Raw genomic sequence first — 19,954 nt, 5'->3', positions numbered from 1 at the left:
TGATTAAACCACTTTTTATGGAATGATATTGCAGATTATTAACTGGCCAGGCACAGACTGGAGACTTGAGAACTCTGGAGAAAGTTGTATGGGATAGATAGATGGAAGCAGGGACAAACTAGAGAGATGTTAGAATGAGGGCCAGTAAGTGCTTAGGATACAGTTGTTGTTGAGACCCATAAGTATGTAACATTCAAATACATGTGATATGAGAGTCAACCTTGAAATTAAGGGCCTCAAATGTATATAAAGTTATTTCAGTGATGTTCAAGCTGATTTATTCTAGTAATAGTGGTCTGGTCTCTCTAAGTATGAGGAATGGAAAAAAAAAACCCCAAAACACTAGCTACAACTTTGTTTGAAATTTTAATGTTTTGGCAACTGATATACAGTTCTATATTTCAGAGATAGTGGAGAAAAGACCTCATTTAATCATCAATACAGTAAATATGATACCACAATTCAGATCTGGCATATCCAACACAAATTAAAAATATCATAACCAATATGGAAAATGTTCCACACAGTCTTCTTTTGGCTCAATACTGTTGACATTTCAAGAAGCATGCCAAAATATATTGCTAGTAGGAGGTGATGTGGTAGATGAAGAAATTATAAAGGAATGATTTTTCTAGTCATACCTATGAATAAAGAAAAAATATTGGATTATCTATAAAATTTATATTCCAGGAAACACATACTACATATAATATGTAAAATACTTGTGCACAAAATACATATAAACATTCAAACATGCAAGATAGTGTAATATAATATAATTATAGTTATTACTAATTGATATTTTCTAGTGCTAAAACAGTAGGCTACTAATATTTATTTTATAAATGACTAAATGATTGACAGTTAATAGTCAAACTCTTCACTGTGTTATGCAAATAAAGATTCTATTTAATGCTCCCATTAAATAAGAAATATTTACATCTCTCATCCAATTTTGAAGAAACATTTTCTTAATTTCCAAATAGTTTACTAGACATAAAATATAATATTACTTCCTACATTGAGTATTTCTTGATGTATTTGGATTATAGATTTGTCAAATAATTACACTGGGAAAATGTCCTTTTGGAAAAAATTTTAAAAACCTTTGAAAAGTAAAGTCTTCGTAATCTATTTTATTAGAAATCTTTTTATTAATAGTTTTATGTTGTAAACATTCTGTAGATTTAATTAAGTTCTGCCTTATAATATTCTTCTGGCATTGCCTTGCTTTGTTTATTTCTGGTTTACCTAAAGGTTCAGGTCTTAATCTGATCCAACTGATTTTTTTATTCTATCACAGTATCATGCTCACAATTCTAATTTTGCACTTAGTAAACTTCTTTGTAAACCTATTTACCCTTCTAGAACTGAGGTTAAGGAAGGTTGTCAGTATCTCATTTTTTTTTTTTTTACCAAGTTTCTCATATTGTGGGACTCATGATAAGCAATTTCAAAATACAGAATGAATGACATCAAAGGGGATATCACTATTCAGAAAATACAACTACAACCTCAGCTCTCATCCATAACAATTATGGTGTTATTTTTTCTCATATAAGGTTATTTGGAAGAGTTGCTTGATCTCTTTCCATTGTCAGGAAAACCAAACAAAAATAGAATCAAGCTGTGAGACCAATGCCCTTTCACATTATTCTTGAACTCCTGACATGGATACGGGGTTGCCTCAGTAGTTGAGTCTTTCAGAGGAAGCAATCTAGGGCCAGACACTAGGTTGGAATCTTGGCTCTTTCACTTATCACATACAATATGATCATGGGCAATTTATGTAACTTTTTTGTGCATTGCTTGTCTCTTTTATACATTAGTTAATAATGATAACCACTTCACAGTGTTATGTGACCATGAAACTAGTTAATACTGGAAAAAAGTTTAGAACTGTGGTGGGCGCACTCGAAGCACTCAAAAAACGTCAGCTATTATTATCAGATTTGCTGTTGCACCCTCTGTCACGATGATGTATACTTATTATTATACACATCTATGCATATAGGTTTTGAACAACCATTTAAGTTTAGGAGATGTAGATAGAACAATGGAGATAAACTGAGGGCGACTAAATTTCAGAATGGAGAAACCTCTAATAATTATAATGAAAACATAAGGAAAAAAGGAGACCAGATAAAGTGAACCACGACTATAAGTCACCATTGACTTGACGCTCTGTCAGACTTTTTTTTTTTTTTTTTTTTTTTTTTACTATACTTTAAGTTCTAGGGTACATGTGCACAATGCGCAGGTTTGTTACATATGTATACATGTGCCATGTTGGTGTGCTGCACCTATTAACTCATAATTTACATTAGGACCTGTCAGATTCTAAATATACTGTGGAGGCAAATGCAATCTAGATCGGAACCTCAAGGGGAATGACAGTGATGGCAAGTAGGAAAGTAGGCTTTATATATTTATCTATATCTATATCTATATGAGTTTTCCCAGAGAAATTGCTGCAGAAAAAATTTGTATAAAGTAGCTCAAATTGTAAAATTTAAAAAAATCTACTAAAAATATATATATATATTTCTCCAAGCAGAAATGTTGAGTGAAAATCAAAAGGCAAACTTTAAAGTAAACCAGTGTAGCCACTTGTCTTTGTGAAGATTTCTTCTAAGAGTCATTACTTCTGGTTAAATGCATCCAGTTCACAGAGGAAATTTTCTATAGTTTATTTTTTAAAATTTGCAAAAAACCATATGCCTGTAAGTTACACAGATAACTCTTCTTTGTGAATCAAAAAGTGTATAGCAAAAGTTAAAGTATTTTATAAGCCAATCTCTGATTTAAAGAGAATTTATCTAAAGTATTTAAATTATTGCTTTGATGTTGTATTCTTAAGTGAAGATCCTACTTAAATTTTTGTTCAATGACTAGTCTTAAAGGTACTTACTCAAGCTCAAATTGCAGCAGTTAATTCAAGAATCTTACATGTTCTTCTTAAAAGAAAAAGAATAATGCATTTTAATGTACAAAGGCTATTTATATCTCACTTGAAATATTTAGAAACAATTTTAGACATCTAACATTCAAACCTAAATTATAGAAGTCTTATTTTCTATAATGATAATGATAAAGTCCTCCAAATGTTACATGCCTATCTAAGAAATTCAGTCACATCTCAAAATAAAAATAGAAAATAGAATTCAGAGAATTATCAGACTCAGACCCAGTCCTAGGATTTCTGATGCTAAATTATTAATATTTATGCTAAATTTTCAGCTTTCTTTTTTGTTTTGTTTTCTTTTCTTTTCTTTTCTTTTCTTTTCTTTTCTTCTTTTTTTTTTTTTTTTTTTCTGAGACGGAGTTTCACTGTTGTTGTCCTGGCTGGAGTGCAAGGGCGCGATCTTGGCTCACTGCAAACTCCACCTCCGGGGTTCAAGCGATTCTCCTGCCTCAGCTGCCTTAGTAGCTGGGATTACAGGCGCCCGCCACCATGACCAGCTAAATTTTGTACTTTTAGTAGAGATGGGGTTTCACCATGTTGGCCAGGCTGGTCTTGAACTCCTGATCTCTGGTGATCTGCCTGCCTCGGCCTCCCAAAGTGCTGGGATTACAGGCGAGCTATCGCGCCCAGCCAATTTCAGCTTTTTAGATTCAATTTCCTGCTCTACCATTTACTTCTTATGTTAAAGAAAAGGCATCCTAAGCCAAAAGACTTATTAAATGAAGGTAAACTATTAAATATAGCTTGGAAAATTGAATCCACTTCTTTTAATTTCAGAATCTGTTGTAAAATTAATATTACTTCTATCTCTCTACTTCAATGGATTACTGTAAAAATCAAGAGAATATATACACAAATGTTTAGAAAATTAAAATCTAATATAATGCAATTCTTTTTCCCTAGCATTATGATTGCAGTTGTATTTGAACCGTATGATTTTTATTTCATTACTGGCCTTAACATTTTGATTTAAATTTGATTTAACTTCTACGTGATAACTTAGATTCTTTTTTAAATTTCATTTCTTTTTATCTCATTTTTCACAAAACACAATAATTATATATATTTTTAAAAGGGCAAACATACCTAAATGGGAATATATGGGTAGGTGTTTTCCTGAATGTGATTCCACAGGCTCATAGACTACAAGGGGAACAGCCTGGACATACTGGGGGACAGTGAACTTCTGGAGAAACTGGTTGGTTTTCGTCTAGAAAGAAATAAAATTATTAATAATTATCCCATATTTAATCTCTCCCAGAGTTCAAAAGAGAGCTACATAGAAGCAAATGAATTAAAACTTTGCCTATTTACATAACTGCTAAATTATTCCAGGTAGAACCAGCAAAAGGAGAGTTTACTTATGTAAAAATCACTGTAAATATTTATATGTTATGGAGTAAACTTCAGAATTCTTCAGAATTAAAGAGAGTCTCTAATTCTGACACTCACACAAAGATGTCTAAGAGAAAAAAATAAATTTATATGTAAGAAGCCAAGAGGAAAATTATTTGAATTACAGATATGTGTCTCAGTTTATTATTTATTGTTCTGTATATAATCCTTAGAGTCAGAGAGGCTCAGCATAATTTTTTGTGATTTTACTCACTGGAATCTATGATAGCGGTCTTGTTGCTTAAGCTCTCTGAGCATCATTTGCATTGCAGAATTATTTAAGTTAATATATAGAGAGCATTCTGATTAGTGCTGATCACTTCTTTTATGTACAATGGATGCTCCCTACATCCAACTTCTTTCTTTAAGCATTCTTCATAAACCTTATTATAAATTATTGTAGGTAATAAAGATGGAATTAAAATGGCAACTTTACACAAGATAATTTCCAGTTTTTATGAACATACAGTAAGTGTTGACTGGATCCATGACTATGATATACAACTGATACAATGGTAGAATTCTTTTGGGATCATTTTGACAAAGTATAAAGATTTTCATAGCAACTAGAACTTATGAAACCAGATAGGTTTTCAGTTGGGAGAATTAATTTGAGAACATTGAAGCAAATAGTACTCCTGTTACAAAAATTTTACAAGAAATTTGTGTCTAGGAGGATGATGACCATAATATTAATATTACTGCTGTAGTACATTTATTGTATTATACAGTTTACATGTATTACCTGAAATGATCCTTTCCAAAAAAATTAAAGTCAGAAGTATATTTACATGTTCACTGTTTTATTGAAGACACTGTAATTGAGAGGGACAAAGTACTTAAAAAATGTCACAGCCATAAAAAAGGGTGGAGCTGCAGTTGGAAAATAAACTGCCTGACTCCAAAGCCCATGTCCTTTCACTGAGATACATAAGCCTCTTGACCACACTGATTGGCTACAAGAACTACGGCTTGAAAATAATCACTAATAGTTTTTTATTTTGAGAAATCAGGTCATAACATACTGTCAAAGAGAAGTTGGAATACAGTTGTGCTATACTAGTACCTTGATTAAATCATTTAAAATATAAACATTATTTTTTGAGATTTGCAATTGCTCAAAAAACAATAGATTAAAATTGTTTTTCTTAAAAGATATATTCATATTTATTTGAAAAGAAAGGTGCATACCATGATAACAACAATAACAGAACTACTATAGATTTTAAATTTGATTTTAAATATTTATTTGGAATTCAGTGATGTGAAAGTTGAGGGGAAGAAAGAGTTGAGATTTTATATATATATATATATGTATATACATGTATATATATGTGTGTGTGTATATATATATTTTTTTCTTTATTTGCACTGTAAGTTTATGAAATAACTACCAGCTGTTTCAGGTAGTTCTTTTCTTCATTTGACTTAATTTTCTGTTTAGAACCAAAAACAACTGTTATGAAAACAAAAGAAATTACTACTGGATAATATTAATTGTATTTTGTTTCAAAGATAATTACACACCTCAGGGAATACTTCAGCAGATTCCTAAAGGGAAGAAATTAAAAATCAGCTTTACTTGTATGACACACCAGTAATTGCATGTAACTAGTTATAGTAAAGTGCTAAAGCACACACCAACGTGGCACATGTATATATATGTAACAAACCTGCATGTTGTGCACATGTACCCTAAAACTTAAAGTATAATTAAAAAAAAAGAAAAATTCAGAGCCACGTCATTGTTAATGAGAAGTGATCTTAATCACCGATTAGAGAAATCAATTAAGAATCATTACAATAAAACATTCATTACTAGAGCACACACTCTGTGTTAACAATGACACATTTCTAAAGATATGTGTTATTACAAAGTCTTCATCCAGGTGCATTGTTCAGACAGTAAAAATGACTACAGAGAGTAGTCAGGTAAAATAATGAACACATAGGCCAGGTGAGGTGTGATGTAAACCAAAGCTCACATGCCGTTTCTAGAGTGATATGGGTTCTTATACTGAGATTGAAAGAAAGAATAAAATATGCTTCCTAAGGCACCGATAAGGAAGACCTTGTACTGTGCCTCAGGTCACAAGACTCCAGCTCACAATCCGTATTTCCCCCTTCCCCAGGACCTTTTCCAATTGTGCTCACCTACCTGGCTCTTTCTATTACAATAGGTATTTCTTGTGGCAGTCACCAAATAACTCATATAGTTCACCCTACTGGATGATACTTATTATCTCCTAACTAATACTAGTTATCTCCTAAATAATATTGAGAGAGTAAAACTTTAGTGAAAGCAATTGGCAGGCTCTAGATTTCATACTGAGCTGTATTAAAAAATGAAGTTCAGGCTGGGCGTGGTGGCTTATGCCTGTAATCCCAGCATTTTGGCACAGTTATATCATAACCATTATGAAATAAAAATAACTTTTTAAAATTTATGTAATAAAAGATAACTTTAAATTTTTATTTAATTTTAGTAGTTATGACTTACTTCTTGGGAGATGCTGGTAGATTCCTTAGGAAAAAGAAAAGATAAGACATCTTAATTATATATCAATTCAGATATTACTTTCCACCATGCAGTTTACCACTTTTTCACAAAAGAACAAAACTAGGCAAATCATTAGGTGATATTCAGGGTATCTCTAGGCATATGTTATGCACTATTAGTAGAAATATATTTGAAAATTAACAATGTATAAAGTTGAATCTTTATTTGGAAAACATATAATAAATTCCTCTTATCCAGTTTACAAATTTGAGAATGGACACCATGATTCCTGAAGGAATATTGTTATTCAATGACAGCTAGCAAAAGAAATGGTATTGAACATTTTTTTCTAGAACCTGGTCCTGTACCAATCTAATCTGGCTAACTTTGAATGTTACAGTTGTAGTCGGCATCCACAAATTATTCTTGTCATTGCTGCACTTTTTATTTTCTCTAATTCTGTAATTCTAATTTGATGCATAAAGAATAATAATTTGGAATAAAGGCAATCTTGTACAGAATTTAATATCTGGACTATTCAATATCATAGTGCTTACATTCAAAAAGTGAACTTTAGAATTAAAGAAATCAACTCATCAAAGTCATTCTCCGTCCAGCTTTGTTCCGTTGCTGGTGAGGAACTGCGTTCCTTTGGAGGAGGAGAGGTGCTCTACTTTTTAGAGTTTCCAGTTTTTCTGCTCTTTTTTTTCCCCCATCTTTGTGGTTTTGTCTACTTTTGGTCTTTGATGATGGTGATGTACAGATGGGTTTTTGGTGTGGATGTCCTTTCTGTTTGTTAGTTTTCCTTCTAACAGACAGGACCCTCAGCTGCTGGTCTGTTGGAGTTTGCTAGAGGTCCACTCCAGACCCTGTTTGCCTGGGTATCAGCAGCGGTGTCTGCAGAACAGCGGATTTTCGTAAACTGCGAATGCTGCTGTCTGATCGTTCCTCTGAAAGTTTTGTCTCAGAGGAGTACCCGGCCATGTGAGGTGTCAGTCTGACCCTACTGGGGAGTGCCTCCCAGTTAGGTTGCTCAGTGGTCAGGGGTCAGGGACCCACTTGAGGAGGCAGTCCACCCATTCTCAGATCTCCAGTTGCATGCTGGTAGAACCACTGCTCTCTTCAAAGCTGTCAGACAGAGACATTTAAGTCTGCAGAGGTTACTGCTGTCTTTTTGTTTGTCTGTGCCCTGCCCCCAGAGGTGGAGCCTACAGAGGCAGGCAGGCCTCCTTGAGCTGTGGTGGGCTCCACACAGTTGGAGCTTCCCAGCTGCTTTGTTTACCTAAGCAAGCCTGGGCAATGGCAGACGCCCCTTCCCCAGCCTCACTGCTGCCTTGCAGTTCGATCTCAGACTGCTGTGCTAGCAATCAGCGGGACTCTGTGGGTGTAGGGCCCTCAGAGCCATGTGCGGGATATAATCTCCTGGTGCGCTGTTTTTTAAGCCCATCGGAAAAGCGCAGTATTAGGGTGGGAGTGACCTGATTTTCCAGGTGCCATCTGTCACCCATTTCTTTGACAAGGAGAGGGAACTCCCTGACCCCTTGTGCTTCCTGAGTGAGGCAATGCCTCGCCCTGCTTCGGCTCACCCATGTTGCACTGCACCCACTGTCCTGTGCCCACTATCTGACACTCCCTAGTGAGATGAACCCTGTACCTCAGCATGGTACTGGTACCAAAACAGAGATATAGATCAATGGAACAGAACAGAGCCCTCAGAAATAACGCCGCATGTCTACAACTATCTGATATTTGACAAACCTGACAAAAACAAGAAATGGGGAAAGGATTCCCTATTTAATAAATGGTGCTGGGAAAACTGGCTAGCCATATGTAGAAAGCTGAAACTGGATCCCTTCCTTACACCTTATACAAAAATTAATTCAAGATGGATTAAAGACTTAAATCTTAGACCTAAAACCATAAAAACCCAAGAAGAAAACCTAGGCATTACCATTCAGGACATAGGCATGGGCAAGGACTTCATGTCTAAAACACCAAAAGCAGTGGCAACAAAAGCCAAAATTGACAAATGGGATCTAATTAAACTAAAGAGCTTCTGCATAGCAAAAGAAACTACCATCAGAATGAACAGGCAACCTGCAGAATGGGAGAAAATTTTCGCAACCTACTCATCTGACAAAGGGCTAATATCCAGAATCTACAATGAACTCAAACAAATTTACAAGAAAAAAACAAACAACCCCATCAAAAAGTGGGCGAAGGACATGAACAGATACTTCTCAAAAGAAGACATTGATGCAGCCAACAGACACATGAAAAAATGCTCACCATCACTGGCCATCAGAGAAATGCAAATCAAAACCACAATGAGATACCATCTCACACCAGTTAGAATGGCAATCATTAAAAAGTCAGGAAACAACAGGTGCTGGAGAGGATGTGGAGAAATAAGAACACTTTTACACTGTTGGTGGGACTGTAAACTAGTTCAACCATTGTGGAAGTCAGTGTGGCGATTCCTCAGGGATCTAGAACTAGAAATACCATTTGACCCAGCCATCCCATTACTGGGTATATACCCAAAGGACTATAAATCAGGCTGCTATAAAGACACATGCACACGTATGTTTATTGCAGCACTATTCACAATAGCAAAGACTTGGAACCAACCCAAATGTCCAACAATGATAGACTGGATTAAGAAAATGTGGCACATATACACTATGGAATACTATGCAGCCATAAAAAATGATGAGTTCATGTCCTTTGTAGGGACATGGATGAAATTGGAAATCATCATTCTCAGTAGACTATCACAAGGACAAAAAACCAAGCACCGCATGTTCTCACTCATAGGTGGGAATTGAACAATGAGAACACATGGACACAGGAAGGGGAACATCACACTCTGGGGACTGTTGTGGGGTGGGGGGTGGGGGGAGGGATAGCATTAGGAGATATACCTAATGCTAAATGACGAGTTAATGGGTGCAGTACACCAGCATGGTACATGCATACATATGTAACAAACCTGCACATTGTGCACATGTACCCTAAAACTTAAAGTATAATAATAATAAAATAAATAAATAAAAAGAAATCATGTGGCTATTTTAGTATTCCTGTTCAAGTGAAGCTTTTTACTGAGTGTAAAAAGCAAAAGAATGTGTGTGAAGGGAAGTGGAGGCTCATCAAGAAATTTGTCTTAGTTTTTCATTCATTTTTCCACATCCGGTTGAAGAAGCTTTGCAGTTGGAGTAGGGACATCTCATTTATATTCCCTTTCCCCTGGACTGGTTGCTTTACCTCTCATAAGCATCACATACCTTGAAGTTTTATATGGATTGAAATATGAAGAGTGGTTTTTATAGTACCTGTCACATATGTCCATCTGAAAAATTTTCTAGTATGTTTCTACTTTGATTTTGCTGTGAATACTTAACCAAAAATTCCTGTAGAAATTAAAGATGGAATAATTTAAAATGGCATCTTCACTCTTGGAGAATTTCCAGTTCATACAGATGATAAGTAAATAGGTATGTAAAACATGTGTTTTTTGAATTGCTCAGGGTTAAGTTTTAAACGGACACATGATTACAACCAACAAGGGAAGAATACAATTAAATTTATTTAGACAAAGTATAAAAAAGATTATCAGGGCAATTAGAATTTTCTAAAAATAAAATAGTTTTATTTTAGATATCTTGTTTTAACATGACCAAGATTTAAAATGGATTTTTTGTCTGTGTATACATTTAATAATAATTGCTACTTTTGGCACATCTTGGAAATTTTTCAAGTAATTGATTATATAATTTACCTATATTATCTAGCATCATCCTCATAAAAACCTGTAGGATTAGTATTACTAAATTCATTTACAGTCGAGAAAAATGTAAGGTCCAGAGGTTAAATAATAACTTAGAGAGCTGAAGTTGGAAGGGAAATCACTTGACCCTGAAGCCTATCCTCTTTCCTTGCACTGCACATTTCTCTAGTCCACAGAGGATGAGTTATGTGATTTCCTATGGCTTAGAATGAAAGTGGTTAAAAGCTTATAAATTCCTGTTGCTACTTCATAGAGCTGAGTGATGAATTTTGTGTTTGTTAAACTACGGTGATGTCTCCATTAGATCACTTTAATTCCTTTTTTTTTTTGAGAGTTGAGGTCTTGCTATGTTGCTTAGGCTGGTCTTGAATTCCTGGCCTAAAACAATCCTCCTTCCTCAGCCTCCTAAAGTGCTAAGATTACAGGTATGCACCACCATGCCCAGCCTAATAATTTATTATTATGTTTGTAATTCTTCCAAATTTAGTTGGATTGCTCATTTTTCTTAAAAGATAACTCTAGATATATTTGTTAACATAGTATTTATGTATCACAGTAACAACAACAGGAAAAAGTAATTTTATCATAAGTGTGGTGCTAGATATTTCAATGTGGTGCTAAATATTTCATTGAGAAGAAATGATGTGATCATTTGGAAGAAGAAATAATTGTGAAATATATTCTTTTACTTGAAATAATACATTGTATGAAAAACTTACCATGTGCTTTAAGTAGATCCTTCCTTCCTTAGTCAGTTCATTGTTCTATTGAAACCCAAAGGACATATTAGAGAAATACGAAATAAAAATGTTACTAATGGTATTAATTTTATTTAAATAATGACTTACTTCAGTGGATACTTGAGCAGATTCCTAAAGGAGCAAAATGATAAATAGCTTTACTTGAATGACATAGTGATAATTGTCTCTACATAATTTTAGGAGAAAGTTAGGGATGAGTAATTATTCAGGGTCCAACCCACTAGCACTAAGATACTCTCATTTATTAAGAATTAAATATGTGACATTATTTATCACCAGGACTTTTTCTGTCAACATAATAAAAGGACTAAAATGTGTTTTATTTTGAATGCTTTATTAATTTAACATTTTTCAGGCAATTTCGTATGACTACAGAGTACAGGCAGGTGACCAAAAATATGCAAAATAGACCTGGTGAGGGTGTAATAAACTAAACCCTACATGCTTTTTGTTGAAATGACAGACATGGCTCAAGGCTCTCAGATTGAGATCAACACTTAAAATTAAGGAAAGACTAAGGTGAGCTTCCTAAGGCACTGATTATAAAGAACTTAGGCTTTGTCCAAGGTCATGGGACACTGGACAATAATCCACGATGACACTGCCTGCTATTCTAGGGCACTCTTACAACCTGGCTCGCCACCACAGAATGTTTCATGGGTTGGTGACTTACACAATTCCTAACCCAAATCTTCATTCAATCTTTTTAAAAGTGGTTCTCAAAGTATTATGTGTATCAGTATCACCTAGAGGCCCTGCTAAAATACAGATTGCTTAGCTCCAAACCAGAGTTTTTGATTTAGTAAGTCAGCTGTGAGGACTATGATTTTGTATTTCTCACTGTTTTCCAGGTGCTGTGGTGCTACTTATCTGGGGGCTACCATTTGAGAGCTGCTGTGCTAAACAATATTGAGAGGGTTTCCAAAGAGAAATGATGCTGAAGGAAATTGGCAAGCTCTTGATTGGCACAAAAATGCAATTTCCTATTGAGTCATGTATACATTTGCAGAGAGAATAGGGCAGAATAAATAATAATTCTCAATATAGTCAATTTCAGCCACTCAAAATGATTTTGAGTCATGTATGTGATTTTTCCACTTCTCCCTTTGAGTGTTTAGATGTAAATTATCAAACTATTGTATACTACTACTAGAAAGCTGCTATTTCTTTGATTTTAAAAGAAACAGTATCTTACCCCACTGGATAAACTGCTAGAAGATTGCTGATAAGTTGAAATGAAAATAAAAATAAAATAATTTGGTGATAGGAATAAATTGAATCCTTGAATAGCAGTAGTTACTTTAGATATGTTCCACATTAATTACCTACTTCATCATTGTACTAAACATCAAAAGAAGGATTGAAATAAAAACAATATAATCAGGTTTCATAGGTTCTTATTATGAATCATCTTTGCAAAACAAATGGGAGGGATTCACATAATCTGTTATTTAAATGGAAGTATCTCCATTATGAGAATAAGGGCAAATTTAAGAGAATAAAAAGAATGGATGCAGGATGAAGTTATAATTTAAAAAAATTTTTAAAAATAATTTCTGGATTATTAAAAGAGGAATATTCCAGATATGTTACAGACTATTATTAATATTTAATATTAGGTATACATATTGTCAATCAAATATAGTTCAGATGAATAAAAATATCTCACCATCGTATCTATTTTATTTGCAGTTTCCTAGTTAAAAAAGAATTAGACATATTATTCCTGTAGCATTGCTTATAAGGTATATTCTACTGAATGTAAAGAAAAAACCCACCTACCACAGAGAGAAGCATTCATTTTCATTTTAGGGATTTGAAAGAATTATATCAAAATTGTTCATTTCATAATAAACGTGCCAACAGTAGTAAATTCAAATGTAAGCCCCATGAGGGAGGGAATTTGTTTGTTGTATTTATTTGCTGTGGTATTTCAGAGCCTAGAATATTGTTTGGGATACAGTTCTTCCTCAATAATATTTGTTAAATGAATAAGTGAATACACAAAATTAATTTAGTCTGCAGCTGGATAATTATTTTTAACTTTAAATAACTGTAAACATTTTAATGTATATTTGAAATACATAATTAGGACTTAAACCTGTGATTTGCAGATAGATTATAAAAGTTTTCATTAAAAATAAATGTATTTAATTTTAAAAGACAAAATTTTGAGATAAATATTAAAAATTAGCTGAAGGAATTAAAAATCACAAAATTACTAGGTCTCTATTCTTTGTTGGAAATAACTGTGGAAGTGTTTAGTGGATTCATTGATTCTTGCACAAATTAATATTCTTCAGTTGAATTATTCATTGAATTAGGACAAGTGCATGCTTTTGTCCTGTTTTTCAAATTTCTCTTACAACAAGTATACTTTTTATATGTGCTAATTTCAACTTTACTCAAGATCAGATTTGAAATCAAGGTCTTATACTTGCTAGAATTTGGAGCAAATGTCCTTCCAAAAATGAAATTGGAATTGATTCAAATCCTGATTCAAGAGAAACATAATTTTCCATAATTCTTATATAGATTTTTTAGCATAAAGTAAAATACATTAAATGGTCATCCAAAAAGTCAAGAATTAGTGAGGTGAAGAGTAGATGATTGATCATAAATAACTCCATTCAAAGAGATGACGCTTTGAAAACTTGGTTCACAAATGGGCCACAAATATGTTTTCACGTGATCCTTTCACATAATTTCATAGCAGTTAAGACAATACAAACATCACTCACTTTACACTTGGAGATGAAAAAATAATACTCACATGGAAAATAATTTATAATTGATAAAAATACACCTCATTAATCAAACACAACATTAACAGATGAATTTTACCTGACTGGTTTGGAAGACCATATTATTGTTAAGCTTAAACTTCTGGAAAAAATAAATAATATTCATTTTATAGCTATATAAAAATGACAAATTATTTAAAAACATTTAATGTAAGAAGTTATGACTTACTTCTTGGTAGATGCTGGCAGATTACTTAGAAAAATAAATTAATAATACATTTGATTACTTGTGAAATATTTTATTCATACTACCCAAATTAGCATCAATTCATACTCATTATACAGTAGCTCAAGATAAAATACTTGGTCTTTTCCTGAATTACAGAGTGAATCTGACCAAAAATTTTACTCTCCTTAATTAACTTATTATTATATTCTAGTTAAATAACTTGATCTGAACTCTTAATATACTTGTGGGATAAGCCAGATACAATATTTTTGCAAATGCTAACAGCAAACAGCAAAGGAATAATTTTATTTGTCTTCTGCACAGTTTTTTTTTCTTTGTCTTTTTCTCTCTTTGATTTCTAAGTGAAATATATAGTAGCATAACATGGCAATTATTTGGCCAACCTTAAAGAGCTTTGGACACCTTGTATGTAGCCATGAGCAAGAAGACATTTAGAAATGAGCACTTAATATAGATGTAGGTGTACCTGAGCCCCTTTCTCCATAATAATATGTAATGGACTCCATAATAATATGTAAAGGACACCATTACTTCCATACTAATATCACCGTTATTGGATAACTACCAAAGAATCAAGTGGAAAAGTGCACAAATCTAATCTTGTCACATTTGGATGCATGCATTTTAGTTTATTCTCCCCATACGTTCAAGCAATAATTGCACTTCAAATTTTCCATGATTCTGTAACTCTGCTGTTACTGATCACAAAAATGGAACTAACCCAGGACATTTGTATTATCAGGTGCCAAGAAGTGTTTTTATAATAAAGTACCTTACCTCACTGGAAGAGGAGGAGTGCTTTATCTCCTATATAAGTCACAAAAAACAAACACAAATTTAATTTAAAATACCAATGTGAATCTTTGTCTCTACTATTTAATGGGAATAAAATATTGTAACACTGCTTCTTGGGGAAATTTAATGAAATGAGGCCTCCTTTAACAAATTACCTCTGTTTCTAATATTGTCAATAAATAATGAAAACATTACTCTGAATTTCCCCGGAAAACTCTGAAACAAATGTCCCTTGATTTTTAGCTGAGAGTCCTTGTCTATTAAATGGAACAATTGAGGCCAATTATTTAATTTTTAAAAGTGAAGGAGAGTGGTTACATCTAGTAACCACCAGTAGAGCATAAGATAGAAGAAATTATTGATCCTGTGTATTATTGATTACTAAAGCATTGTTTTTTTTTTTACTTTTTAAACCAACCTGTTCATATTAAAAATGAAATTCTCACTTTAGATTTACTCAGTTGGCTACAAATTTAAGAAGGCACAAATGCCTGCATGTATATATCTCTTACATATGGGGATGTGCATTATAAAAGAGTACACTGAGCACTATAAAAGTAAAAGATGACTTTATGGGAAGAGTGACATGTTGGAGTGGGAAGGAGGTGGGTATGTGAGTTTTTTTTTCCTGTGAATGAGGGTGCTAATAATGTTAGAAGATTAAAATTATAGGTAGTACAAAATGTATATATGTATGTATATATATGTATCTATATCCATGTATGCAAGGCAGTTTTATATGTATTGTCTATTACATACTTACAGTTTTGTGACATGAATATCATTATTGTATCCTCACTGGGTTATTTGGCAAATAATTTACAAAGTTGCCACTGAAAATCTAGAGCTACTAACTCCATCCTCTGTAACATGTCCTTGTGTATATTTGATCATCATGGCTTCTTAATTACTTTTATCAAGAATGCTGAAATTCTGTTACTCCATTGATAGCTACCTTTGGAATCCGCAATTATAGTGGTGAGGCTTTCTTACACTTCTAGAAACATGTGGCAGAGTGGAAATAATCCCTCCAGAAAATTTCAACATATATTCCAACATATTACGGAGGAAAATTCCTGCCTTTTTTCCCTATACATACAGCCTATCCAATACTAAAGTGAAGTCACTTTGTAGAAAGACTATTTGCCTGAACACTCTGTTTAAGGTAGAGTCAATAATGTCATTGATCATAGACTAAAAGGTCACATATTTAGTCTCTGTTTATTACTGTTAATGCCTGAATCTTCTGCATATAGTAAAAAGTTCATTTTTCTTATACACTTAAATAAGAATTGATATCACTATATGTCCCAGTATGTTTACATGATGTGCCAGAGCAACAGCCAAAAGGCAGGTAAAGATGAAGAACTTCATGGTTGTTTGGTCCTGTAAAAACATGTACAGAAAATTAATCACATAATTTATAGTTCCAAAACTTATACATTCTTTTATTTATTTACCTATTATTATTTTTATACCAGATGATTGAGAAAAGATAATGAAGATTGAAAGCATTTGCTTTTGAGAAGCTCATAAATATGAATATGAATATAATAGTTTATTTTGAAAGAGACTTTTTTTTCAACAGGACTAATTTAAAGGCATATTTGTTAAAATGTGGAAGATTCATTCAAATATCATTGGTTCTTGGGGCTAATCTCCAATGACAGGCATTTTGTGAAGAATGATTATCAGAAAAACAAAATACAACAGGAACTCCTTTTAAAATCAGATTTCAAGGAGTCAAAACATGCAGCCTGGCTCCCTAATAGGAAATAGCAGATAGAATTAACACTGGATTGGGAATAAAGAATCCTGCAGGTCCCAGTTTAACCCTGGACTGGCCACTAAAGCTTCAGTAAGCCAGTGAACATCACCATACCTTATTTAACACATTTAATAAATGTGAGTTGACTACACGATCTCTAAGATCCCTTCCAGCTAGACTGATGTCTCATATTATTGATATAAACAAATCCACAAGGTTTTCTGAATACGTGTCACTAAATTTCTCTTCCTTATGTTTAAATGAATAAGTAAAAATTAAAGTTATTCTAAAATATTTTTGATATATGTAACTCTTTATAGTGTACATATTTACAATTTATTTTTAAAGGATAATTTAAAGCTTACCCAATGATAACAAAATGGGCTTATGATCCACACCTTTGTGAATACAGAGGGTGTGTCTATACAGGCATCAAATTACACCTTCATATTTTATTGCATAATTTTTGAAAGATTTCTCCATTATATAGTATAAAATATCTCACCCTTGAAGTGAATAATAATACCATGTAGTTGATGAAATAATCATTAATAATACCATATAGTTGATGAAATAATTATTTATTCTTCTAAGATGCAAATAATAAATATGTATAGAGCATATTTCATATAGGCAAAGCTTTGTTCACAATTGTAAGGCATATTTCGTTATCTTTATAATAAATACCTGAAGTAATATATTTTATATGGCTGTGTTTATATCAATTTTACCTATAAATAGCATTTTACATAGATGAAAGAATTAAAACATGGAAACTGTTAGTTCTTAATTAGACATATTCTTAATATTTTGGGAAAGGAAATTAAAAATAGCTGTAACTACTAAGCAACAACTATGGCAAATATTGTGCTAGACATTTTACTGTTATCTGTAATCTTCAGAATAACTATGTAATGTCAGAATTTTTGCCTCCCATTTCCAGACGGAGAAAGTGGTCGAGAGGCCATATACAAACTGATTATCTTGGTCATGACTTCAGAAAATAACCTCAGTACCTATAAGACTGTGTCATAATAAGCATAACATATTAATTGTATTATTAAAAAATAAAATAACAAAGAAGTTTGTCATAAATAAAAATATTTCTTAAGCAATTTATGGTGTGTTGATATTGACACCTTTAAAAATAATTGCATTTTTATTGTACAGAAGAGTAATAAGCTTTAAAATATTTTTTATTAGCACCTAATACAAGAAAAATAATATATGAAGATATTACCTTGTTTCCCAAATAGAAGACCAGTGGACTACACAGTGGAAAATCTGCAGTGGGTTATTTTAATACTATTTAAACCTTGTTCCTCCATAATAGGGTAATTCTGTGCTTTAAAATATCTAAAAAGGCACTTGAATTCTGAGAAGTCAGAATGGTTAGAAATTTTTTTCTTGATTTTTGTTCCACAAATTCCAAGGAGTGCTTTAGGACAGTTTGATTTAGAACATGATAACAGGAAATGAGGATGTTATAATACTTAATAATTGGCTGTATTTTGTATGTAGCCTCATTCATGAAATAGTTTTTTGATTTAAGATAAGTATTTTTTTATTTCCTTGTCTCCTGTTATCAAATTTCCCATAGCTAATATTTGTGCCCCATTTCTTGTTACTCTTTATGCCTCATTCAGACCCTTTCCTGAGCACAACATGAATTCTTGTGTCTTTGTGACTCCTCATTTTGTGTGAGCAAGAATTTCCGTCTCTCAAATTCTCATTGGAAATGCCTGATAAATTTCTGTTTTAAAACATCAGCTTAAAATTGGACAAAGCTGTGAAAATATCCTGTGATTCTCATACAAACACAATTCCTTATACAGTTGGTGTATGGTTTTTTACATTTAATTAAAAGAAAATATAAAAATTTATATGTAGATAGGTGCTAATATATAACTATATTTGACTGAACAAAGATTTACTGAGAACCTACTATATGCCATGAACTCTTTTGAACACATAAAATAGAGTCATGAAAAAAGAAAAGTTCCATGCTTTATGGAGTTTATGGTTTAACTGAAAGGGAGACTAATAAACATGATAATTAAGTAATCTATAGTTGGTTTGATAGTGATAAATACTAAGGGGAAAACGGAATTGGAAAAAGAAATAAGAAGTTTTGTTAGGGAAGGGGTTTTCAATATTAGATAGCATAGCTAGGAAATCCTCCCTGAGCAAAAGAGTAAAAATGTAAAGAAGTAAATGTATAAACCAGGAAGAATGCTGGGAGAAGAGCAACCTAGTGCAGGCCTTAAAATAGGATCATGCGTGGCATGTTTAAAAATAACAAATAGAAGAGTGTGGCTGGGGTTGAGTAAATCTGGTTAACCTGAGGTCAGAGAAACAAAAGGAGCCAAATAACGCAGGACTTTTAGGGCCTTGTGAAAACCTCAAAACACTTTTACTCTGGAATTCAGTTTTTGGCCAGAATTGCGTATCAGGGACTGCATTTACCTTAACTCCTGTTTTCAGTAACTAGACAAATAACAAAATAAATGATATAAAAATTTTCCTGTCTTATACAATAAGAAATGCAGGATGGTGATTCCCAAGAGAAGGGAAAAGAGTGAGATGAGCCCTATAATAATTATCTCACCTTATTATGAGGAAAAAATGTACAAATTGCAACAGAGAAAGGAAGCGTTTAAATAGAATAAGCAATTCCCTTAATTGAAGAGATATAGTTGAGATTAATGGATGGAAGCCTCTAAAATTAATACCTAATACTGAAGAGGAAAAGATTTCAAAGATAGGAAGGAATTGCACAGGGAAGGAATTCTGGAGATCTAAAGAGGGTTATCTTTAATTATCTGCTGAGTTTTGATTAGCAGGAATGAATGCAAGAAAACTCTATGAGGCTGGGGAAAGAACATCAGAAAGAAGCAGATGGTATAATGCCTGGAGCACAAACAGGACTGGGAATAGATCATGTTACCATCAGCCAGAGTGGAAATACCTTGTAGTATACATGGCA

At 32.9% G+C, this 19,954-nt stretch overlaps 1 pseudogene across 1 annotated transcript; it reads right to left on the bottom strand.

The window, feature by feature from the left end:
• Positions 1-364: 364 nt before the first annotated feature.
• CSN1S2AP (casein alpha s2 like A, pseudogene) lies at positions 365-18,252 on the bottom strand (annotated as a pseudogene). The gene is made up of 13 exons (NR_003720.1): positions 18,209-18,252; positions 16,524-16,586; positions 15,183-15,212; positions 14,385-14,408; positions 13,081-13,107; positions 12,607-12,633; positions 11,499-11,522; positions 11,370-11,414; positions 6,861-6,884; positions 5,888-5,911; positions 4,052-4,175; positions 2,912-2,957; positions 365-641 (listed from the first exon to the last, which is right to left on the bottom strand). The product of NR_003720.1 is annotated as a casein alpha s2 like A, pseudogene (transcript).
• Between the last annotated feature and the right edge of the window lie 1,702 nt (positions 18,253-19,954).

Source organism: Homo sapiens, chromosome 4, assembly GCF_000001405.40.
Source record: "Homo sapiens chromosome 4, GRCh38.p14 Primary Assembly".
Classification (NCBI taxonomy): Eukaryota; Metazoa; Chordata; class Mammalia; order Primates; family Hominidae; genus Homo; species Homo sapiens.
Note: the sequence above shows the minus strand (reverse complement) of the source record. Positions and strands in the feature narration are given on the sequence as shown.